The 23,906-nt window shown below is 46.3% G+C and overlaps 4 protein-coding genes across 13 annotated transcripts in view, besides 2 other annotated features; 2 read left to right on the top strand and 2 right to left on the bottom strand.

Moving 5' to 3' along the window:
• Positions 1-9,144, bottom strand: part of UTP4 (UTP4 small subunit processome component) — a 36,373-nt gene extending 27,229 nt beyond the window's left edge. For 2 of the 3 annotated variants that reach the window (NM_032830.3, XM_047434817.1), the window contains exons 1-5: positions 9,104-9,144; positions 8,175-8,335; positions 4,906-5,097; positions 3,908-3,992; positions 1,879-1,968 (exon numbers count right to left, since the gene is read on the bottom strand). In NM_032830.3, the coding sequence (NP_116219.2) occupies positions 1,879-1,968; positions 3,908-3,992; positions 4,906-5,097; positions 8,175-8,333 (526 nt within the window). In that variant the 5' untranslated portion in view covers positions 8,334-8,335; positions 9,104-9,144. The remainder of the gene's footprint in view (positions 1-1,878; positions 1,969-3,907; positions 3,993-4,905; positions 5,098-8,174; positions 8,336-9,103) is intronic. The other variant, NM_001318391.2, reaches the window with a different exon arrangement.
• Positions 9,096-9,455: a silencer, noted in NCBI's record as "silent region_7653". NCBI's record gives its function as "represses an Ori minimal core promoter by ATAC-STARR-seq in GM12878 lymphoblastoid cells {active_cell/tissue: GM12878}" and the evidence as "EXISTENCE:reporter gene assay evidence [ECO:0000049][PMID:35858748]".
• DERPC (DERPC proline and glycine rich nuclear protein) lies at positions 9,205-23,783 on the top strand. Of its 7 annotated transcripts, NM_001366602.2 has the most exons (5): positions 9,205-9,309; positions 20,300-20,357; positions 20,623-20,740; positions 21,144-21,686; positions 23,268-23,783. In NM_001366602.2, exons 4-5 carry the CDS (start codon positions 21,365-21,367, stop codon positions 23,342-23,344), a joined length of 399 nt encoding a protein of 132 aa, NP_001353531.1. In that variant the 5' UTR covers positions 9,205-9,309; positions 20,300-20,357; positions 20,623-20,740; positions 21,144-21,364; the 3' UTR covers positions 23,345-23,783. The 7 variants fall into 7 exon arrangements, with proteins under 7 accessions (NP_001353531.1, NP_001353535.1, NP_001035234.2 ...); NM_001366606.2 differs by lacking the exon at positions 20,623-20,740; NM_001366605.2 differs by lacking the exons at positions 9,205-9,309; positions 20,623-20,740 and adding an exon at positions 9,634-9,704.
• CHTF8 (chromosome transmission fidelity factor 8) lies at positions 9,205-23,783 on the top strand. Of its 2 annotated transcripts, none has more exons than NM_001039690.5 (4): positions 9,205-9,309; positions 20,300-20,357; positions 20,623-20,740; positions 21,144-23,783. In NM_001039690.5, exons 2-4 carry the CDS (start codon positions 20,335-20,337, stop codon positions 21,366-21,368), a joined length of 366 nt encoding a protein of 121 aa, NP_001034779.1. In that variant the 5' UTR covers positions 9,205-9,309; positions 20,300-20,334; the 3' UTR covers positions 21,369-23,783. The 2 variants fall into 2 exon arrangements, with proteins under 2 accessions (NP_001034779.1, NP_001035236.1); NM_001040146.5 differs by lacking the exon at positions 9,205-9,309 and adding an exon at positions 9,634-9,704.
• Positions 9,476-9,625: a silencer, noted in NCBI's record as "silent region_7652". NCBI's record gives its function as "represses an Ori minimal core promoter by ATAC-STARR-seq in GM12878 lymphoblastoid cells {active_cell/tissue: GM12878}" and the evidence as "EXISTENCE:reporter gene assay evidence [ECO:0000049][PMID:35858748]".
• The window catches only part of HAS3 (hyaluronan synthase 3), a 35,236-nt gene continuing 34,403 nt past the window's right edge, over positions 23,074-23,906 (bottom strand). The window contains exon 4 of the mRNA NM_138612.3: positions 23,074-23,438. Coding sequence (NP_619515.1) covers positions 23,331-23,438 — 108 coding nt within the window. The 3' untranslated portion in view covers positions 23,074-23,330. The remainder of the gene's footprint in view (positions 23,439-23,906) is intronic.

Raw genomic sequence — 23,906 nt, 5'->3', positions numbered from 1 at the left:
TAAAGAGAATGCTGTAAAAAAGAAGATTCACGAAAAAAAAGAACTCTGGAAATGTCAAAAATGAAAAACTCAATAGAGGATTCAAAGATAAAAAAGACAAACTCTCCCAGAAAGCATAGTAAAAAGACAAAGAAATGAAAAATAAGAGTAAAAGAATTTCCCCCCAGAACTGAAGGACGTGGGTATTGGATTAGAAGAACCTACCAGGTGTCCAGAACAATTAATTGATCCACATACCAAGAAACCTAATTATTACATTTCATAACAGTAAGGATAAAACATCCTAAAAGCTCCTGGGGGAAAAAAAAATAAAACAGGTCCTACACAAAGGGATAACTCTCAGAATGGCAGCTTACTTGCTAATAATACGAGGAGCTGGAAGACAGCGGAGCCAGGGCTTCAGAATTCTAAGGGAAAAGAATTTCCAACCTAGAATTCTTTCTCATGCACTCTTACTCAGGATCCACCAAAGGGTAAACCAAGAAAGTGAATAACACAGAAATGGGAGATCCTATCCGATAGAGAAGCAAAGGAGATCCCGAGAACAATGGAAAAATCAATCAGAGTTTCAGATCTCACAGCTGTGCAGCAGGCCCAGAGTGGCTAAGCCAGATGGGAGTGGGTCAGAAGGCACCGGGAGGGACTTATTCACAAAGATAAAAGTGGAGAAAGAAAATCAGATGGACTTGAACCTAATTTATGCAACTGGAAAAATGTGGGAATGTATCAGTAAGACAGAGAGACAGAGACACTATTAAACAATAAGTATACCGGAAAAGAAAGAAAATTTACTATGTGAGTAGTATATACATAGTCATAATAATGAAAACATCAATTACTAATTTGAACAAAGTTATAATATAACCATACTGGGAGGATCGGGAGGAAGTGTGGATGCCTGTGGCAGACGGTAGAAAAAGAGGGGCAAGTTGCAGAAGTCAGTAAAAAATGGTCTAAAGCTGAAAAATCAAAATGTAGCATAAAAAGCATGCTAGGATCTGCAGTGATAGATACCAAAAGAATCAGCTAAGGGTCACAAGTGGTTGCCTCGAGGAGAGTGAGAGAGATATAGAAGGACTCCCTCTTTTTTGTAATAAGCTTAAGGGATTTTTTTTTTTTGAGACGCAGTTTCACTCTTGTTGTCAGGCTGGAGTGCAATGGGGCGATTCTCCTGCCTCAGCTTCCTGAGTTGATGGGAATACAGGCATGCACCACCACCCCGGCTAATTTTGTATTTTTAGTAGAGACAGGGTTTCTCCATGTTGGTCAGGCTGGTCTTGAACTCCCGACCTCAGGTGATCCACCCACCTCGGCCTCCCAAAGTGCTGGGATTACAGGCATGAGCCACCGCGCCCAGCCAACCTGTTTTATCTCTGCATCTCAGACGGAAATACAGACATGTCCACCTAACAAGTTGAGATCAACCCTATCAATGAAGGATTCTATGAAGCCAATTTTCCAGGCCAAGAACAGAAAATATCATGGTTCTCTGCTTTTCTGATCTCATGTTTCACCAATTATGCTACAAAAATCTTATGTTCCTCAATGACAGAAGCCCATTTTTACCAAGGACTGGGATCTATAAATAGGTAATTCTACTGTTTATAGTACACGAATGTACTAGTTCAGAGTATTTTATTGTGAATTCTTATTACGATGAATGAAAAATACTATATCTTACTGAAGATCCAAGATTCCCCTAAAAGCAGTGGTAGTAATCCAAGAAAGGAGTAAAATTAATTGTGGACATCTCAGAAGATTAATGACATGTTAGGCCATAAAGGTCATGAAACCATGACAAAGGCTCAAGCTTTTGAAAACTCAGAAATGTGAATCTGACAAAACCCACACCCCAAATGAACTGAAAAAAACAATCACCTGATTTGACATCAAACACACTAATGTAGTCTATGGAACCAGCTGCAATGTGGGTACCAGAGGGATGCCAGCTGAGACTCAGGATGCGACCTTGGGAGTTGGACAACAAAAAAAGAAAGTGACATACACATAAATATACGAAGAGTAACTGAGCTCTCTTCCCACAACTATCTCTAGAGTGTTCTACAATCTTAGCTCTCTCATCTATAGTACTCCTTGAAGCACCATTTTATTTATTTATTTATTTATTTATTTATTTATTTATTTATTTATTTTTGAGACGGAGTCTCCTCTGTCGCCCAGGCTGGAGTGCCGCAGTGGGATCTCGGCTCACTGCAACCTCCGCCTCCCAGGTTCAAGTGATTCTCCTGCCTCAGCCTCCCTAGTAGCTGAGATTACAGGCACCTGCCACCATGTCTGGCTAATTTTTGTATTTTTAGTGGAGATGGGGTTTCACCATGTTGGCCACGCTGGTTTCGAACTCCTGACCTCAAGTGATCCACCCGCCTCAGCCTCCCAAAGTACTGGGATTACAGGTGTAAGCCATCGTGCCCAGCTGAGACACCTATTTTCTATTTCATACTTGACAAAATGTATGAGATTTTTAAAAAGCATTGTATTACCTTTGTAATTGAGAAAGAACACCCAGGCCGGGTGCAGTTGCTCATGTCTGTAATCCCACCACTTCAGGAGGCCGAGGTGGGTGGATCACGAGGTCAGGAGGTCAAGACCAGCCTGGCCAACATGGTGAAACCCCGTCTCTACTAAAAACACAAAAACTAGCCGGGCATGGTGGCACGCACCTGTAGTCCCAGCTACTAGGGAGGCTGAGGCAGGAGAATTGCTTGAACCCAGGAGGCAGAGGTTACATTGAGCCAAAATCACGCCACAGCACTTCAGCCTGGGCGACAAAGCAAGACTCCATCTCAGGAAAAAAAAAAAAAAAAAAAAAAAAAGAGCACCCAAGATATATTAAAAACGAAGCAAGAATCTGATTAGCAGAGGATAAGTATTACTAATGGACACAGAGGACATTTGCTATTCTAGAAGATGGGTCACCAAACTGTGGCCCACAGGCCAAATCAGGCCCACTGCTTGTTTTTGTAAATAAAGTTTTTACTGGAGCACAGCCTGCCCATTAGTTTCAGTATCGTCTATGGCTGCTTTTGCACTACACTGACAGAGTTGGCAGACAATGTAGGTTTGGCAAAGCCTAAAATGTTTACTATCTGGTCCTTTACAGAAACAGTCTGCCAACCCCTGTTCTAAAGGGTCAATGCCAATTCAGCCCAGGTGGAGCCCAAGGATGGGCAACTGTTTATAAACTCCCTCATTCAACTTGAATGCACCAGAAGGATTAAGAACCACAGTTCCTTGGCCAGGGCAAGTGGCTCAGGCCTGTAATCCCAGCACTTGAGGCCAAGGCAGGTGGATCACTTGAGTAAGACCAAGAGTTCGAGACCAGCCTGGCCAACATGGTGAAATCCTGTCTCTACTAAAAATACGAAAATTAGCAGGGCACGATGGCACGTGCCTGGAATCCCAGTCACTTGGGAGGCTGAGGCACCAGAATCACTTGAAGCCGGGAGGCGGAGATTACAGTGAGCCGAGATCATGCCACCGCCACTGCCAGCATGGATGACAGAGTGACACTCTGCCTCCAGAAAAAAAAAAAAAAAGAAAGAAAAGAACCATAGTTCCTAATGACAAAATTGTAGTTCAAGACTTCATGTACGCTTGTTAAAACATCACAAAAGTAAGTGATAACTAACAAATTGACTTCCACAGAAACACTAGCTTTCCAATTTTGGATTTCTGGTTTTCTATATTATTACTTAACCAAGCAGTCACAACTATGCTATACAATGGGTAAAGCCTGGGCTGGGGATGGCTTCTAGCACATACCCTCCCTGTACCCAGTAGAGATAAAATATTACCTGGATTCATGGGAAAATATCCCATCCCCAGTGGCACAGAAACTTAATTTCTTGTTAAGGCTATTTACCGCCCCATGAAAAATGACGCTTACTTTTCTGCCGATCAAAATTTCTTTCAAACTGGATTTTGTCTGGGGTAATTTGAAATAGTTTCACAGATCCATCTTCACAACCAACCTATTTGAGAAAGAGGTAGTAAACAGAAAAAATCAATAGTAAACATTTTATAGGACTAAACACACACACACACCCCCCAACACACACTCTCTCTATTCTCTCTTCCTCCTTAAAGCTATCAGTTGCCGTGAAAAAGAAAAATCATTTGTGAGAGAAAGTACTAGTTATCAAGAAACTAATAGTGTATTCTCAGTAGCCTTCATATCCTAGACAGAAAACAGACTGATATTAAGAGTTCTAATTAGTGGCCCCATTCCTCTGTATGACATGGATTAGAAGTAGGATTTCATAGAATACTTCTGCTAGAGACCCTTGGCCTAAATAAAAGACCTACTAACATTATAACCTAAATGGAAACACCTTCAGATATCGTGCAAATTAGTGCAGATCAAAAATAATCAGACTCATCACAGAATTAAAGATCTGGAAGCACCCACTCTAATGGTAATTATGGGAAGGGGCTCAGTGTGTGGTCATATTTTTGAGAAACACTGGGCTGAAACACAAGTGCACAGGTTAACTTGCTGAAGGGACTCTCAGAACTCTTCATGTACCGATGTGCATTGTGAATTTACAGCAGGATTAAATATGCTGTATTTGTGAAATGAAATTTACCATAAAACACAAAACAAACCAAAACAAAAAAACCTCTACATCTCCAAATTCCACAGAACACAGTTTGGGAAATGTTGAACTGATGTAATCCTCTCATTTCATAAATGAATCAACAAGGTCCAGACTAGTAGCAAAAAGAATGCTGGGGATTTTTAAAATCTTCACTATCAATTCCAATCTTATAGTTGGGGTTGCCACATGCCATAATATATCGTTACTCTCCTATGAGCACAGGGAAGAAAGTCTGAGCAGGCACGAGAGAAATTTTGGTTTGAATTACCAATAGTTGCTTACTAACCAAAAGTTGAGAGCCACTGGGGCTGGCAGCCATGCTCCAAATAGGTCCTCCAAAGGCATCCATAGCATACTTGATGTTTAACGCCTGTAAATCATACTCCATAATCTCGCCATTGAGCCCAGCACTAAAGAGTCGCTGTCCTTCTGCCCAGCACAAAGCTTCTGTAGCCCGAGACTCATGACCTGGGAAAAACTGCAGAAACACCATAACTTCTCAACATTACCACAAATTCATCAGGTACCGGTACTGAGTGGTCACAGGCAACATGGTAAAAACAACTTCCCCATAAATAACTAGTGTGGGGTTTTGTGCTATCAGATCATGCCTAATGACATTTTCATTTTTTCAGCTCAAATTCTAATTACTTTTATACAGTTAAATTTGTTTCTTTTACTAGGACTAGTTCGGCAAAACATTTTCAGCAGAAAAGGTTTGAACTGCATTCCAGCCTGGACGACAGAGTGAGACACTGTCTCTACAAAAAATATAAAAAGTAGCCGGGTGTGGTGGCACACACTTATAGTCCCAGCTACTACGGAGGCTGACGGGGGAGGATTGTTTGAGCCTGGGAGGCGGAGGCTGCAGTGAGCCTTGGCCTCCCAAAGTCCTGGGATTATAGGCGTGAGCCACTGCACCCAACCCAAAAGTTTTCGTAGCTATCAAGGCATTTTATGCTTAGACCTGCTTGACGAAAAAGGAACTAAGTAGGTATAATTTTTCCTATTTCAACTTGAAAAGGCCAAGATATACATGGGTTAAGTAGGTTGCCAAAAGTGCCAAAGTCAATTGCATGAGGCAAATGAAGGTCTCCTTACTCCTAGCTCATATGCTCATATTCTTTCACTTTTTTGTTTTTTGGAGACAGAGTTTCGCTCTTATTGCCCAGGCTGCAGTGCAATGGCGCCATCTCAGCTCACTGCAACCTCCGACTCCCGGGTTCAAGCGATTCCCCTGCCTTAGCATCCTGAGTAGCTGGGATTACAGGCATGTGCCACCACGTCCCGCTATTTTTTTTTGTATTTTTAGTAGAGACGGGGTTTCTCCATGTTGGTCAGGCTGGTCTCGAATTCCCGACCTCAGGTGATCTGCCCACCTTGGCCTCCCAAACTGCTGGGATTACAGCCATGAGTGAGCCACCGCATCAGGCCCACTTTTATTTATTTATTTTTTTTGACACAGGGTCTCATTTTGTCACCCAGACTGGAGTGCAGTGGCACGATCTTGGCTCAATGTAGCCTCAACCTCCTGAGCTCAAGCGATCCTTCCGCCTCAACCCTCCAAGTAGCTGGAACTATGGGCATACAACACCACACCTATCTAATTTATTTATTTATTTTTTTAGGGATGGGGTCTCACTATGTTGCCCAGGGTGGTCTTACACTCCTGGGCTCAAGTGATCCACCTGCCCTGGCTTCCCAAAGCGCTGGGTTTACAGGTGTGAGCCACTCTGCCCTGCCTCTTTTCACTTTAACGTACTAATTTTTTCTTGCTCTGAGAGTCACTGACAGAGCTAAGCAATCGTATCTAGTAGGAAAGGGAATATAGGGAAAGCAGGAAACCAGCCTGAGTTAATTAATTGTTGAAGAATAAAGAAAACAGATGAAGGAGAAAAGAAAATAAGGAACACTAGGTAAGGAATGGTTGACTTATCCATTCAAGAAACATTAAGCAGTGGCTTTGTAGGAGGCGCTTGATAAATGGTGGGAATGCAGATGTGAGTATCACTGACATGGTTCCTATCCTCATAAAATTGGAAGTTCAGCATGGAAGAAAGACATTAAACAAACACACAAATTATATAGTTATAACTGTTACAAATGACAAACAGAAAAATCATAATATGGCCATGACTGTTAAAAAAAAAAAAAAAGAAGAAGAACAAGACCAAGAAAAAGATAATCAGTCTGGTATGAGGGCTCACACCTGTAATCCCAGCACTTTGGGAGGCTGAGGTGGGCAGATCACTTGAGGTCAGGAGTTCGAGACCAGGCTGGCCAACATGGTGAAACCTCGTCTCTATGAAAATAAAAAAATTAGCGAGGCATGGTGGCACACCTGTAATCCCAGCGACTTGGAAGGCTGAGGCAGGAGAGGGAGGCAGAGGTTGCAGTGAGCCAAGATCACGCCACTGCACTCCAGCCTGGGTGACAGAGCAAGACTCCGTCTCCAAAAAAAAAAAAAAAAAGAAAAAGAAAAAAAAAGAAAATCACAGGATGCAATAAGCACACGCCAGCGCATGTTCTTCATACCACAGAATGTAACCCATTTGTGGTGGTCCTGTAGTTTTTACCTTTTGATTAGTTCTTCAGGGGTGAGCTCAGTAAATCATCCCTTTCCACATTTCCTAAACCCACCTCTCAGGGAAGGCAATTCTCTGAATTGCCTTCCCTGAAGGCAATTCAATGAAGGTTCTATGCCTGTGTTTCGGTTTATCATATTTATTTTACAGGTTGGAAACTGTACACTTATCTTTCTCCCACTGGTCTTTGAGCTCCGTAAAGTTAGGGCCTCTGACATTTGTCTTAGTGCCCAGTATTTGCCACTCATTCACCGAGAAACATTTACAGAATGCCTAAATTCCAGGTACCAGGCTGCTGGGCACTGAATTCACTCATTTGCCCATCTACTCATTTATATCACAGCACCCAGTACATAACAGTCATTCAACATGAACTAAGATGTTGCACCCGAAGAAAATCACTAGTCAGTGCCCTTGGAGGGGAGAAGAAAAAGGACTAATAGACCTCTGCATACACCCAAAGGACATTTTACCTAATTTTAAATCTCCTTTACTCCCAAATGTAGACATGTAGGTCTACATTCTCTCAGACAGATGAACTTTGGAATCCATCTTCCCACATCACCAAAAAGTTTCTGATATTAAAACGTGTTATCATTTTTTCTGAATTGACAATGAAACAGTACTGATACTCCCTGCAGGAAATTTTGCTTACCAAAGCTGCAATGGTGTTGAGACTGATATACCAACAATTTCCCTTCCTGTGTCCAAAAGATCCAGCAAACCTCAGTTTCCAATGACAGGCAGTGAGATGTCACATTTCTAGGTAGGACCCTTCTAATCAACATTACACAGATTGAAACTGAGCTTCTCTTATCAGTTAGGAGATCTCAGAAGTTTGGTAGTTCTAAGCAACTTCAGAGGGGCTAGGAAGTCACTCAATCAGTTTGATTATAAAAGACATACAAGCTTCTTGAACTTCAGAAGAAATTAACATCAAAACACCATATCAGACTCCCAAATGACTTACTTTCTCCTGAAAGTAGTTTGCTGACAAGTTATAAATTTCCACAGTGCCATCTGTTCGTGAAACAGCCAATCTGTTTGACTGGTTATTGTAAGCCACACAGCGGATTCCTGATGGAACATAATTAAAGAAACGTACTCGATGGACCTTAAATTCACCCATTCCTAGGGGGCGAAAAGAGAGTCATTATTGCTATATGTTAACTGCAGTATGTCACATATAGTATTCAGTTCCTTAATATCACTGTTCTGGCTGGAAGGCTCCAACAACATCTCCCTGAAGTTCATTTCCAAATGGCTGCTAACAATGCCCCCCACAAGAATTACTCAATCTTCAAAAGCTCAGAATGGCTTGAATAATAAGGAGGCTTCAGCAAAAAATCAAAAAGGGTCCTACTCCATAGCTCCAGAGTTCCTATCTCGGGGCGCCTAGGAATCCGCATTTTAGCAAGCATCTCTCCTCAACTCTATTGCTAAGTTTGCAAACAACAGACCTAAACTGAGGTAGTGACAGTGAGGCTGATGGGGCAGGCAGAACCGAGCTCCTCTTGAGGAAGAAACGACAGGGTTTGACTTAATCTGGCTGCCTGGTCTGACGTCTGTCACTTACCCTACCCCGTCCCCCCGACGCCCGCCAACATATATACTGGCCGAGAGTAGAGACCAGGTCTTGTTCGCCCCTCACTGGCCTAGCTTCAAGGTTAGGAACCCGCAGACAGAGCAAGCGCGTTCGGTCGGGCCGGGGCGTCTGAGGCGCGCGCGGTCTTCGCCTCCCCTTCCCTCTCCCCGAGTCTACAGAGTAGCCCCCACCCCGCCTCGGGACAAGGAGACCCTCGGGACAAGGAGCTCAGCCGGACGCCGACCCTGGGCCGGCCACCTTGTAAGACCCCCCCAGCTCTCGCAGCCGCTTCCCACGCCCCTTCCCCAACTCACCAGCGGCCCCACGCTCCCCTTCCCGGTGCTCGCCTCTCTCCGCCCCGGCCCCACGTGCGCGCGCGCTCTCAGGCTCTGCCCCGGAAGTGCTCCTGGCGCATAGTCGGAAGTGCGCAGGCAGTGCTCGCGGCGGCGGCGACGGCGGCGGGAGGTTCGGTTGTCGCCCGTTGGCCGCGCGGCGCCGCGCTCGGCGGCCGCCATTGCAGGTCAGGCCGCGGGCGGGGGGCACGGGAGGCTGCGGGGAGCGAGGGCCGAGCCGGGATTGGGGGCGAGGGCGCGAGGGAGCGGGAAGCTAGGGAGCCGGGGCCGGGCGGGGCGCGCGGCTCGGAGAGAAGAATGGCGAGCCGAGGGGCGGGGAGCGCGGGCGGGGGAGGGGTGGCCGGGAAGGGGGAGGGCGGCGGGAGGGCGGCGCGGAGGTGGGGGCAAGCCCGGAGGGGCCTCCGGGGTGGGAGGGCCAGGAGTGTGGGGGAAGGGAGCGGTGTGGAGACGGAAGGCGGAGGGAAGGAAGGGAGCGAGCGGGGCGGAGCGGGAGAAGGGCGGAAAGGGTGGCCGAGCGCGGGCGGAGGACGGAGAAGGGGGCGGCGAGGGCCGGAATCTCGAGGTACGTGCGGGAAGGGGCTCTTCCCGGGGTTGGGAGGGAGCCCAGCCCGCTATGCTTGCGGGAGCGGAGTAGAACTGGAACCTAGGAAGTAGCGGGAAGAGCAGAAAGGGGAGTTCGGGGTGGGGGTTAGGACCGTGAGGTTTTGTTCCAGGTAACATTTGTAATCGTGGAGGGGGGAGGCTTCTGGGAGAGGTAATTGGAAGGGTGGTTGGAGAGTCATTCCAGGTTCTTTTGTGGGAGGGAAGCCGAGAGACGAGTGGGGTGGGGTCCTGGAGGAGTGGAGTACTTGAGAACCGGGAACAATTTGGAGAACGAGGGTGGTAGAGAAAGGACGTTTAAAGAGTAATCTTTGGGAAGAGGGTGAACGGTTTGGAAGACCACTCCAGTGGGTGGTGTGGAGGAAGGCGGTTTAAAGAATAGTTTCCCTGGGAGGCAGGAAAAGGGGTTAAAACAGCTTGTAATTTGGAGGGGGGTGGAGAAGAGGGGGGAAGCGGATTGAGAAGTCCCAGAAAGTGGGTGGGACTAGAAATAGGAAGTGTTTGTAGCTCTAGCAGAAAGGGTGGGAGGGGGCCGAGAGGGAGTGGGTGGAGAAGATGGGGGTGGGTGGGAGGAAGAGCACAGAGGGAGACTCTACGCCGGGCTAGAAAGGAAAGGGTTTGGGGGAGTACAGGGGGCCGTACCATTAAGAGGAGGACAGGCTAAGATGGGGCTGCAGAGTAGCAGAAGATGGAGAAAACTGCAGTAACTCAGATCGACTGAAGCCATCTTTTCCACCCATTGCTACAAATACCAGTAATTGATTCCCTCCAACGTGGGAATCCTAAAATGTGATGGGAAGTATCACGTGTATGCATAGCATCCACACACGTTTTTGAACACACTTCACTAATGTAAAGTTTGGAAGCATTCAATTCCACCAACCCTCCATAAGCCCCTTTTTGGAGGGGAGCAAGATTCTCATTTGGAAACAGGATTTTAGACTTAGTAACATAAGCCTTTCAAGAGACAAGATCCCCTTCAAAAGTATAGACCTGTCCCCTTCAGTTACAAAACCACGATAACACTACAAATAAAAATAATCTGTATTCGGTTGTATGTAAAACGTTCTGAGTTGTTCACTTGGTAGAAAGGCACATAGAGACATAGTCATCATATTTAGAGAAATTACCTTCCAGAACTTAATCCCTGAAGCAGTTTGGTGAACCACAACTGCCATGTTTGAATTCTACTGTTATGAAAACTTGATTTTATTCTGATGACCTGCTGCTTTCGTAGAATGCTTTAGTCCGTTATAAACATTAATATGCTAACACAGTGTAGTATTAAGACATTCTATTTGATGAATACTAAGAAAATGCCACCTTTCTCTGGGAAATCGATAGCTTGACCCTGAAGGCTTACCATGTGTCAGACAATGTGCTAAAAGCTTTACATTCATTACTCGTTCTTGCAACAGCCTTTCAAAATAGGTGTTTATGCCCAGTGTATTGTTAGGAAAACACGTGAGGTTAAACTACCCACTGTCACATATGGGATAGGTGGCAAAATCACAGAATCCAGGTCTGTATGACAAGTGAGTGCTTCACTATATTCGTAAACAAAGTATCCACCCTGGGATCAAAAAACAAAAGCTCAATAAATGCCAACTGTTGGCCTAGCAAAAAATAGAAAATTGTGAATATTTACACTCTGAAATAATTGATTTCACCCCAGTTTAGAAAAGAATGTTTAAGGGTTGAGAATTTAAAGGCTTGGTTTCCTGTTTGAAAAAAAAACAAAATTTCTAAAACGTTGTTTAGCTTTATTAAAATTTAGTTATTTGTATTGAGGTTAAACCGTTGAGTCAAAGCCTCTTTTTTGCTATAAGCCATATGTTCGGTTTAATTGGATACATATCACACTTTCTTCTGCCACATTTTATTTTGAAGGATTATGAGGATCATTGCTCAGGCTGTTCTGTTCTCTGTAAGACAGTAATCTTTTAACAATTTAATATTTAACAATTCAGAGACCAGAGGGTAAGAATTAAATTCTGTGGAAGATTAAAATGAATACTTGACAAAGAATGTCCTCTATTCTCTTGACTTTCACATTCAGGAGCAGAGGGTAAAGCTTTGCGTCCTAGAGGTGGCATTGAGTAGATTTTTCTAAAAGTTTCAAAAACTGAAACATCTCAATTGGGTATGATAAAAAGCAAGCTGCTTCTTTGTTTTTAGCTGCCTACCCCACAGATATAATACTTTGGTGGCAAGTTACAAGGTCTTTCCATAGGTTACTTTGCCATTTTGTAAGAGATGCTGTGAGAACGAGGCTAATATTTGTAAAGCAAGGGAAGTTATCATACAGAGGTGCTTTACAGGAGGGGGCTGTGTGAGGAGAACTGCAAGAGGGGCCAGATTGTGGAGGGGTTAGGGTTCATATCCCAGCTCTCCACTTAAGTAGCTGTGTGACCAGTTAACATTTAGCTCCTCTAAGCCTGTTTCCTCATTTGTGAAATGGGAGTGAGAAGACCTTGCTAAAAGCATAGGGTGTCAGGGTGAAATAAGAGGATACAGATAAGTGAACGAGGCTAGCTTGTGAGAAATGAAGCCTTTTGTATTATAAAAATAATGTTCTGCCTGGACTTTACTTTTCTTCCTTTTTTTTTTTTTTTTTTTTTGTGACGGAGTCTCGCTCTGTTGCCTAGGCTGGAGTGCAGTGGCGTGATGTCGGCTCACTGCAACCTCTGCCTCCTGGGTTCACGCCATTCTCCTGCCTCAGCCTCCTGAGTAGCTAGGACTACAGGCACCTGCCACCACGCCCGGCTAATTTTTTGTATTTTTACTGGAGAGGGGGTTTCACTGTGTTATCCAGGATGATCTCGATCTCCTGACCTCGTGATCTGCCCGCCTCGGCCTCCCAAAGTGCTGGGATTACAGGTGTGAGCCACCGCACCCGGCCTCTGCCTGGGCTTTTCTTAAGAAATCATGGTGGTGCTTTGATTTGCCAGTTTTTTTTTTGTTTTGTTTCAGTTTGTCTGTTTTTTGAGATGGAATCTTGCTCTGTCACCCAGGCTAGAGTGCAGTGGCACAGTCTCGGCTCACTGTAACTACCGCCTCCCAGGATCAAGCGATTTTCCTGCCTCAGCCTCCTGAGTAGCTGGGATTACAGGTGAGCGCCACCATGCCTGGCTAATTTTTGTATTTTTCGTAGAAACTGGGTTTCACCATGTTGGTCAAGCTGATTTCGAACTCATGACTTCATGATCTACCCGCCTTGGGCTCCCAAAGTGCTGGGATTATAGACGTGAGCCACCGTGCCTGGCGGGTTTTTTATAATAATAGTTACTAATTTCAAAAGAGAGAGAGAAGCCAAATGCTGGTTAAATAAGGTATATTCTAGAGTGGTCTGATTACAGCCAAAGCTTTTTAGTTTTGGGTAGGGTTCCCATTGTGGGTCAGGATTGATTCTTTGAATGCTGGTGCCTTTTTGAGGGGAAAAAAGTTTCCTTTACTGAGATAAAGTCGTTTGACTAACTTAGGAATACAGAATTTATGTATTGTTTAGTTCATTTAGCTGCGTGAAGGCCCATAAAGATCAAGTAGAAAACTTTTTTCCCTCCTCATGAGATTGGGGACAGGATACATAATTTATTGCAGGGAAAGGTTTGGTTTTCTTTATACCTTCTTATCTTTCCAAGGCTACACATGAGTTGTGGCCTGTGAGTCTGATACCACACTGTAATATAATGAATTTAAATCTTTTTGAAAAGCTACATCACAGAAGTCTCTCCCTGGCTCTGCAGTTAACCTTGTCAACCTAGAATTATTGTTCCTAACGAAAGACATGTTAGTCCTAGCCAAATCTGGGGTTGAACTCTGCTCTTAAGAGATAGTTAGCCGGGCGCTGTGGTTCACGCCTGTAATCCTGGCACTTTGGGAGGCCGAGGCGGGTGGATCATGAGGTCAGGAGTTCAAGACCAGCCTGACTAATAGGGTGAAACCCCATCTCTACTAAAAATACAAAAATCAGCAAGGCGCGGTGGCAGGTGCCTGTAATTCCAGTTACTCGGGAGGCTGAGGCAGGAGAATCCCCTGATCCTGGGCAGCGGAGGTTGCAGTGAGCCGAGATTGCGCCACTGCACTCCAGCCTGAGTGACAGAGTGAGACTCTGTCTCAAAAAAAGAAGAAAGAGAAATTTGGCCGGGCACGGTGGTTCACGCCTGTAATCCCAACACTTTGGAAGGCCAAGGTGGGCAGATCACTTGAGGTCAGGAGTTCGAGACTAGCCTGGCCAAGATGGTGAAACCCTGTCTCTACTAAAAATACAAAAAGTTGCCGGGTGTGGTGGCGGGCGCCTGTAGTCCCAGCTACTTGGGAGGCTGAGGCAGGAGAATCACTTGAACCTGGGAGACAGAGGTTGCAATGAGCTGAGATCGAGCCACTGCACTCCAGCCTGGGCAACAGAGGGAGACACTGTCTCACAAAAAAAAAAAAAAAAAAAAAAAAGTTGCCGGGAGAGCTCTTCCACTGACTCTCTTTTAGTTTCTTGACTTCATGTATAGCGTATTCATCAAATCGTGCCTTCAGATGCTCTTGATAGAGCTGCAATTTCTAAACAAGCCCCATCTTAGAACAAACAACTAGAAATTGCTCTAGTCGTCTTTCAGTGTTGCTGGAATGAATTGAGACTGAAGACTTAGACATATTCTTCTTATACAGATAATTTCCATTGTTATGCTTGTGATTTCTAATAGGGATTTATTTGTATTGTACTTCTTCCCCACCTCTTTTTTCTACTCACTCTGTCTACTCTCAAGGGGATGGGGGCACATTGGGTTGCATGTTCTCATATGCTTTTTTTTTTTTTTGAGACGGAGTTTTGCTCTTTGTTGCCCAGGCTGGAGTGTGGTGGCGCAATCTCAGCTCACTGCAGCCTCCGCCTCCCAGGTTCAAGCAATTCTCCTGTCTCAGCCTCCCGAGTAGCTGGGATTACAGGCACCCGCCACCACGCGCGGCTAATTTTTGTATTTTTGGTAGAGATGGGGTTTCACTATGTTGGCCTCAAACTCCTGACTTCAGGTTATCTGCCCACCTTGGCCTCCCAAAGTGCTGAGATTACAGGCATGAGCCACCGCGCCCGGCCTCATACACTTTTTAATCAATTCTACACTGAATGAAATATATACTCCCTGCCACCTCCATCAGGTGTGTCCTCAGGGGAGTACTCAGGAATCCCTACCTACTGTGCCCTAGAAACAGTTGTGTGGAGTAGAATCTCAAGGAGCAAGAAAAGAAATAACAGAATTCAGGTGTTACAGGATATTTTAAGGTGCTAAAGTAGAATTTTAAAATTCACTAAAGGATGCCCTCCTCTACGTTCCTGACTAGTAGTAAATACACCCACGTGCGTATAAATTACCTAACTGTAGCCAGAGCAGTCTGTAAGTTCCTGTGAACTAAACTCTTAGAAGCTGGGCTCGAACTTCATTTCTACATACATCTGCAGCATCCCAATAGTTCTAGGATAAGACAAGTTTTTACCAGCCTGACTGAGCATGGTGGTAAGATGCTGAGGCCTGTGGGCCACAGAACTATTTGCAGGAGCATTGCTAGATGTCTGGTAATGCCATAGATGTACACAGGCAGAGCCTCCTGCATCAGTGTGTAAAGGTGTGCATTGTTATTGAGGCATGGGGGATTGGTATGCAAGTACAGCTGTGCCATCCCAGCAACCAAATGTGTTTTCGACACCATTGTTCTGAATTCCTGTTCAGAACAGGAGACTGTCCAGGAAATGGAGAATGCACTGAAAATATTTCGGCATTTTTCTCAAGCACATGGTCACAGTGCTTAACGATTGATTTTGGTTGTCAGGAAGTAGGCTCTGTCTCCTTCCCTGCCTTGATCTTCCTAGAATATACCGTGTACCTATGTGAACACCTTATTGCTTCTCTAAAACCACCTGTATTTTACTGTCACTTGTACCCATCCAGGAAAATATACTACATCATCTTCAAAAGCATATTTGCAAGAGCCCCTTCTCTGTGTGCATTATTGAGCCTTTTTTTGATTCGTGGCTAAAATGTACCATTCCTTAAATTGTCAAAATTATGGGTCAGAATGCTGATTTTCTTATCTCACTGTCTCAAAAAACTTAGTTCATCTCAATAGAACTTGGGGTCTTTAAAGCACCTCAGCAGATGTTATATTTGGTCTTTGCAATAGTTTCATAGGACATAATCTAGGTGTCATAGTCACAAAGTGACTTGTTCTTGACTACACAGTAAAGAGGTCCACACTTACAGGCAGGAGAGCTAAATTTAGGCCTTCTGATTTTAAATTGTTATCCTTCTTCAAGAAACCTTATAAAAGGATTTTTAAAGTGCTTTTAGTTCTGTTGAGAGTAGTGGTGGGGCCTCTTTTGGAAATGTTTGGGTTCTGAGCTTGGGTATTACCCCTTTTCCAGTGGTCCCACAATCTGTGCTGGTGCAGAAGGTCTGACTCAATTCAAGGATGCTCTCTTGATTCCATATTGCCCTTCTGACCAGCTATTGCATATACTCCATGCCTGCCTGATGCCTTGATTCTTTTTCGTTCTCATTAATACTTTTTTTCCTTTGGGAAGGCAGAATTGTGTAGTGATTATGAGTGTAGATAGTCAGATGGCCCAGATTTCTACTCTGTCACATAGCAGCTGTGTGTGTCCAACATACAAGCAAGTGACTTCATCTGTGTGTGCCTCAGTAGCCTGATCTGCAAAATAGGAATAAATACCTATATCATAGACTTGTGATGATGGTTGAATGAGAAACCACCAATATATATGCACAGTAAAAATTCCACAGTAAAAATTCAAAACATGTTAGCTGCTACTTATATTTGAATTTAAAAAGTCTAGTGAGTTGGCCGGGCGCAATGACTCAAGCCTGTAATCTCAGTACTTTTGGAGGGCAACGCGGGCGTATCACCTGAGGTTGGGAGTTCGAGACCAGCCTGACCAACATGGAGAAGCCCCGTCTCTATTAAAAATACAAAATTAGCCGGGCATGGTGGCACATGCCTATAATCCTAGCTACTCGGGAGGCTGAGGCATGAGAATTGCTTGAATTCGGGAGGTGGAGGTTGCGGTGAGCCGAGATCGCGCCATTGCACTCCAGCCTGGGCAACAGGAGCGAAACTCTGTCTCAAAAAAAGTCTAGTGAGTTGACCAATTTCATGTTCCCAAAGTGTTTGGTGCTCTAGGAGTAGAGTCATACTATAAGGCTGCAGATCCAAAAGGAAGATTAACATACCAGTAAAGAAATCTCAAGCTTGCACAGTGTCTCACGCCTGTAATCCCACCACTTTGGGAGGCTGATGTGGGAGGATCCCTGGAGCTCAGGAGTTTGGAACCAACCTGGGCAACATAGTAAGACCTGTCTCTTAAAGAAATCGGCTGGGGGTGGTGGCTCACTCCTGTAAACACAGTACTTTGGGAGGCTGAGGCGGGTGGATCACCTCAGGTCAGAAGTTCGAGACCAGCCTGGCGTGGTGGCGGGCGCCTGTAATCCCAGCTACTCAGGAGGCTGAGGCAAGAGAATCACTTGAAGCTGGAAGGTGAAGGTTGTGGTGAGCCGAGATCATGCCACTGCACTCCAGCCTGGGCAACAGAGTGAGAGTCCATCTCAAAAAAACAAAAAAAAAATCTGTTTAACATTTTAATCGGGTGTTTGCTAAGCTTGAGCACAATTATAATACCTATTAACTTTCCATACTACAGGTGGTAAACATTGAACTAATAACCTTCCACTAAACTGCATAATACATTGACAGTACTTAGCCAGAAGCTGTAGTTTTATCCCCGATCCTATCAGCCCCCCATGAATCTATGCATCACAGAAAGTGAAGCCAATTGTCTTTAGGCAAAAATGTCCAGTTCTTACAAAGTACTCCAAGTTTGCCACCAGGTGGTGCTGCTGTTGTATAAAATGAAAGCATATTATCCTTTTTTTTTTTTTCCCCTTTGAGACAGAGTCTTGCTCTTCTGTGTAGACTGGAGTGCAGTGGTGTGATCTCAGCTCACTGCAACCTTTATCTCCCAGGTTCCACTGAGTCTCATGCCTCAGCCTCCCAAGTAGCTGGAACTGCAGGCGTGCGCCACCACACCCAGCTAATTTTTTGTTTTTTTTTTTTTTTTTTTTTTAGTAGAGATGGGGTTTCATCATGTTGGCCAGGCTGGTCTCAAACTCCTGACCTCAGGTGATCCACCCACTTTGGTCTCCCAAAGTTCTGGAATTGCAGGCGTGAGCTACTGCTCCCGGCCAAAGTCTGTTATCTAATTATCTAAGATATTTTCATATCTAAGTGAAAGGTGGTGAAAGCTTTTGATAAGAATCACATCAGAAGTCAGCTTACCATTCACTAAAGATGTTGGAGGACTTTCTCAGTTCCCTTGGATTTATTGATTGATTGATTGATTTTTTGAGACAGTCTCACTCTGTCGCCCAGGGTGGAGCAATCTTGGCTCACCGTAACCTTTGCCTCCCAGGGTTCAAGTGATTCTCTTACCTCAGCCTGCCGAATAGCTGGGATTATGGGTGCCTGCCACCACACCCAGCTAATTTTTGTATTTTTAGTAGAGACTGGGTTTCACCGTGTTGGCCAGGGTGGTCTCGAACTCCTGACATCAAGTGACCCACCGCCTCAGCCTCCCAAAGTGCTGGGAACACAGGCCTGAGACACCGCGCCTGGCCCCCTTGGCTTTATTTTTAAAGGGAGACCCTTTGAACCTTGATAACCAAGGAGGTAGACTTGAAGCTTACATCATTACCAAAGAAAAAAGTAAAATCTTAAGAAACTCCATAGGCTTTTTTAAGAAACATGCAGAGTAGGAAATAGACTACCCTAGGCTGGGCACAGTGCCTCACATCTGTAATCCCAACACTTTGAGAAGCTGAGGTAGGAGGATCACTTAAGCCCGGGCAGTAAAGGCCTCAGTGAGCTATGATTTTGCTCACTCCATCTTGGGCAGCAGAGTGAGACCCTGTCTCAAAAGAAGAAAAAAGTAAGAGGCCGGGTGCAGTGGCTCAAGCCTATAATCCCAGCACTTTGAGAGGCCAAGGTGGGCGGATCATGAGGTCAAGAGATCAAGGCCGGGTGTGGTGGCTAATGCCTGTAATCCCAGCACTTTGGGAGGCTGAGGTGGGTGGATCACCTGAGGTCAGGAGTTTGAGACCAGCCTGGCTAACATGGTGAAACCCCATCTCTACTAAAAATAACAAAAATTAAGCCAGGTGCGGTGGTTCACGCCTGTAATCCCAGCACTTTGGGAGGCCAAAGTGGGTGGCCAACCTGAAGTCAGGAGTTCGAGACCAGCCTGGCCAACATGAAGAAACCTCGTCTCTACTAAAAATACAAAAATTAGCCAGGCATGGTGGTTGTGTGCCTGTAATCCCAGCTGCTCGGGAGGCTGAAGCACGAGAATCACTTGAACCTGGAAGGCAGAGGTTGCAGTGACCTGAGATCATGCCACTGCACTCCAGCCTGGGTGACACAGTGAGACTCCCTCCCAAAAAAAAAAAAAAAAAAATTAGCTGGGTATGGTGACATGCACCTGTAATCCCAGCTACTCAAGAGGCTGAGGCAGGAGAATCACTTGAACCCGGGAAGCAGAGGTTGCAGTGAGCCGAGATGGCGCCACTGCGCTCCAGATTTGGTGACAAAGTGAAACTTGGTCTCAAGAAAAAGAAAAAAAAAAAAAAAAGAATATCCTTAAGAAAGGCACATCAGCATAGTGAGCAAGAGTATGGTCTTTGCAATGTATGTCTTCGGTTCATATCATCTTTTCCTTAGTAGCTATGTGATCTTAATTAGTTTTGCACATACAGTTGACCATTGGTGATTTTAAGCAACCCTATCTCATATGTACAATATTGGTAAAAGAACAATTCCCACTTAGGGCATTGTTAGAGGAACAAGATAAAATGTGTCTAAAGGACTTAGAAAAGTACCTAGCACACAGTAAGTAATAAATATTAGTTGTCGGCCAGGCATGGTGGCTCACACCTGTAATCCCAGCACTTTGGGAGGCTGAGGCGGGTGAATCACGAGGTCAGGAGTTCAAGACCAGCCTGGCCAACATGGTGAAACCCCATCTCTAGGGCCGGGCGCGGTGGCTCACACCTGTAATCCCAGCACTTTGGGAGGCCAAGGTGGGTGGATCACGAGGTCAGGAGATCGAGACCATCCTGGCTAACATGGTGAAACCCCATCTCTACTAAAAATACAAAAAAAATTAGCCGGCCGTGGTGGCGGGCACCTGTAGTCCCAGCTACTCGGGAGGCTGAGGCAGGAGAATGGCATGAACCCCGGAGGCGGAGCTTGCAGTGAGCTGAGATCGTGCCATTGCACTCCAACCTGGGTGACAGAGTGAGACTCCGTCTCAAAAAAAAAAAAAACCCCATCTCTACTAAAAATACAAAAAGTTAGCTGGCCATAGTGGTGGGTGCCTGTATTCCCAGCTACTCGGGAGGCTGAGGCAGGAGAATCGATTGAACCCGGGAGGTGGAGGTTGCATTAGGTGTCATTATTAGTTGTTGTTGTTATTACCCTAAATCTCTTTTTTTCTCTCTACAGCTTGTTTTCACTTGCTTTTTAAAGACAGAAAGCTCATGGTGCAAATTGTTATTTCCAGGTAAGTACATTTTGAGATTTTAAAATTTGGCTTGAAATGATGAGGGCTATAGAGGTGTGCCATGTGTCTGGAAGAATCAGGGTCCTTAGGTGCATCTTGTACAAATCCTTGCATTCTGATCTCTAGTTCCATGCCTAGCACTGCCCAATTTCCCAAGAACTTGACATCCAACAAAGAGGTCCTTTGGGCCTCAAATGGTGGTGTGAGGACACTATTCATCCTTCACCCCTCAAAAATATTGTAACCGCCAGCCCTTTGCTTGCAGTGCGAGGGCTGGAGGCCTGGCAGAATGGGTGCTGATGGAGCTACAGGGGGAGATCGAGGCTCGCTACAGCACTGGATTAGCTGGAAACCTCCTGGGAGACCTACATTACACCACTGAGGTGAGGGGGCTTTTCTTTCCCTGCCTAATGCCTCAGGAAAGCAAGCTACACCAAGGTGGTGCTCCCAGGACCCAGAGTGAGGACTGCCTCAGGTTTGTTATTCAAGGCCTAGCTAATCTGCGATGCTCTCTGCTTGTTCTCCCCCTACCTCTGCAGTAGCAGGGAAATTTAATTTTGGGGAATCTGGAAAGCTCACATTTCTGAAAGTGGAAATTCTCCTATGTGGGGCTAGAAAGTAAAAAGGGCACATGGGTGGGTGGTCCAGTGTGGCTGCTCAACAATGGCAGAGCCAGACCAGGGATTGGAGGTGCCAGCATAGCCTGCCAAGAGCAGCTTTAGGAGGCGCCTGAGTGTTATGGCCTTGCCCCGGAACCTCAGGAATCTCGTTCTTGTTCTGCCAAAGGGAATCCCTGTGCTGATCGTGGGGCATCATATCCTGTATGGGAAAATCATCCACCTGGAGAAACCTTTTGCAGTCCTTGTCAAACACACTCCTGGGGATCAGGACTGTGATGAGCTTGGCCGCGAGACTGGCACCCGGTACCTGGTGACAGCACTCATCAAAGACAAGATCCTTTTCAAAACCCGCCCCAAGCCCATTATCACCAGCGTCCCCAAGAAAGTATGAAAGAACCTCGGATTTTCCCTAGAGAGCGGCCAACTCCTTGGACTCGTGCTCCGCTGCCACCTCGAGGACGGCTCGACGGTTCCCTGGGACCACAGGGGGGTCCTGTTCTGAACACAGGCCACCCACTGGGTGTGAACTCGGATCCCTTCCTTATGGCGGCCGGTTCTCTTGGTGGAAATCTGACCCCATTTCCAAGGAACCCATCTCCTTTTCCAGCTTCATCAGGCTCATTGGCTTCAAATCCAGCACCTTTCCCGGCTGGTGCTCGTGACCCAAGTATGGCTTCTTTTCCAAGAGGGATGAATCCCACTGGCACAGGTGCAGTTTCTTTCCCAAGGCCTGGTGGCCTCTTGGGGCCAGGCCCAGGCCCAGGCCCCACCCTAAACCCTAGGACAGGGGCTCTGCCAGGCCCAGGGCCTCTGTCTAACCCCAGGTTAGGGGGTCTCCCAGGACCAGGTCCTATGTCCAACCCAAGGGCAGGTGGTCTCCTGGGAGCAGGTCCTGACCCCAGAGGTGGTGGTCCCATGGGCCCTGGATCTGGACCTAACCTGAGAGCCGGTGTTCTGTTAACCTCTGGGAATGGTCCTCCCAATCCTAGGCCAGTTGGCCTGGGCCCAGGACCAAACCCCAATCTGAGATCAGGCTTTTTAGGGACAAACCCTGCCCCCAGGTCAGGTGTGTTTCCAGGCCCAGGCCTTGGGCCCAACCCAAGACCAAGTGGCCTGGGCCCAGGCCCTAATCTAGATGCCAGAGCAGGTGGCCTCTTGGGCACAGGATCTGGTCTTAACTTAAGAATGGCTGGACCTCAAGGCCTCGATCTTGCCCCCATTCTAAGAGCAGCAGGTCTTTTAGGAGCAAATTCAGCTTCTTTCTCACAGGCTTCTGGAAACATGGGCACAAGCCCATCCTCCATGGCAAGAGTACCTGGCCCCATGGGCCCAAACTCGGGTCCTAGCTCTCGGGGAATTGGCCTTCCAGGGCCAAATCCATCTCCCATGTCAAGGGCTCCTGGCCCCATAGGCCCTAATTCAGCTCATTTCTCAAGGCCAGTTGGCCCCATGGGGGTAAATGCCAATCCCTTTCCCAGGGGAGCAGGTTCATCTGCCTTTTCTCAGTCTTCTGGCACATTGGCATCAAACCCAGCTACCTTCCAAAGGTCCGCTGGCCTCCAGGGCTCAAATCCAACCATTTTCCCAAGAGCCTCTGGGCCACTTGGCCCCAACCCAGCTAACTTCCCAAGGGCCACTGGCCTGCAGGGTCCAAGTCCAACTACCTTCCCAAGGTCTACTGGCCCATTAGGCCCTGGTCAAGTTACTTTCCCCAGGCCAGCTGCCGGGCATCTGGGCCCTTCTCCAGCTGGCCCTGTGGGTATCAACCCAGCTCCTTTCACAAGGCCAACTGGGACCCTGGGTCTCAACCCAGCTTCCTTTCCAAGGATGAATGGCCCTGCAGGCAAGAGTTTCGTCCCATTTCCTAGAGTGGGGAGCCTCCCTGGCACAAACCCAGCTGCTTTCCCCAGACCAGGGGGTCCAATGGCTGCAATGTACCCAAATGGAATGTTGCCCCCTTAAACACCATTTTCCCTCCAGGACCACCTTGGTTTCTAGGCACTGTGGTTCTTGGCAGGGGCTGTCTTAGGTAAAAGGGTAGTTGTGGAGCTACAGTCTGAAGAACATAGCTTGGGCTCAAGTTCAAATGAGCCATCTTTTTCCTTTGCGTTTTTCTTGACTGAAGGTGAGATGTTATTTGTGGCATGTGAACTGTGGCAGGTGGGAATAATCCTGCCCTTGAGAGAAAGGATCTCCAGCCTCCCAGAAGCCTGCTGTGCTTTCGTCCCACAGCTTTCTGCCCATTGTTTCTTACTAGTTTCTTGAATTGTTCTTGTGGACTTTTCCTCAGGGATACATTGGCCTGCAGGTCCCAGTTCACATGTAGTCCCCTGCTCACCATTGGAGAATCAGCTCACTGCTCTCTAGAAACGTGGCGTTGGTGAACGGACCATGCTTCCGTAGCTCTGACCTGGGCAGCTTGGACCTGGTCATCCTCTACTGCCATACCTTTCCCTGGGGGCTTGAACACAGAACAGGGAGATGGACAACCACTTCAAAGAAAGACCCACCGAATGCAGTTTCTGCTTGACTGACTGGGCCTGCAGCTCCCTTCTCCTGGGACTTAGAGGTGGCCAGATTTAAGGCCCCTCTACTCATCCAACTCCCTCTTCACTGGTACTCCCAATCAATCAAAGAACCTCAAAATTTAAACTGATGTGGATGGGAATATGGGAATTAGGGTGGGGGTGGGGGATGAAGGGAAGAAATCACTGTGCTTTGTTCGGCCTGGTGTGCAAGGATGGTTGGTGGTTTTCCTGCATTGTATCTTTTCTTACTGTTTCTTTAATAAATGGGATGAGAGGGCTGCTGGTGTCACTGTGTTTTGTTACCTGTTTCATAGGGAAGGAAGTTTCCTCTGCTTTTCATTGTTTCAGCTTGGCTACAGTCTTACATCATGTCGGCTAAAATGCTTTTGCTCCAAGAGGAA

This window comes from Homo sapiens, chromosome 16, assembly GCF_000001405.40.
Source record: "Homo sapiens chromosome 16, GRCh38.p14 Primary Assembly".
Lineage (NCBI taxonomy): Eukaryota > Metazoa > Chordata > Mammalia > Primates > Hominidae > Homo > Homo sapiens.
This window is presented reverse-complemented; position numbering and strand designations above follow the sequence as displayed.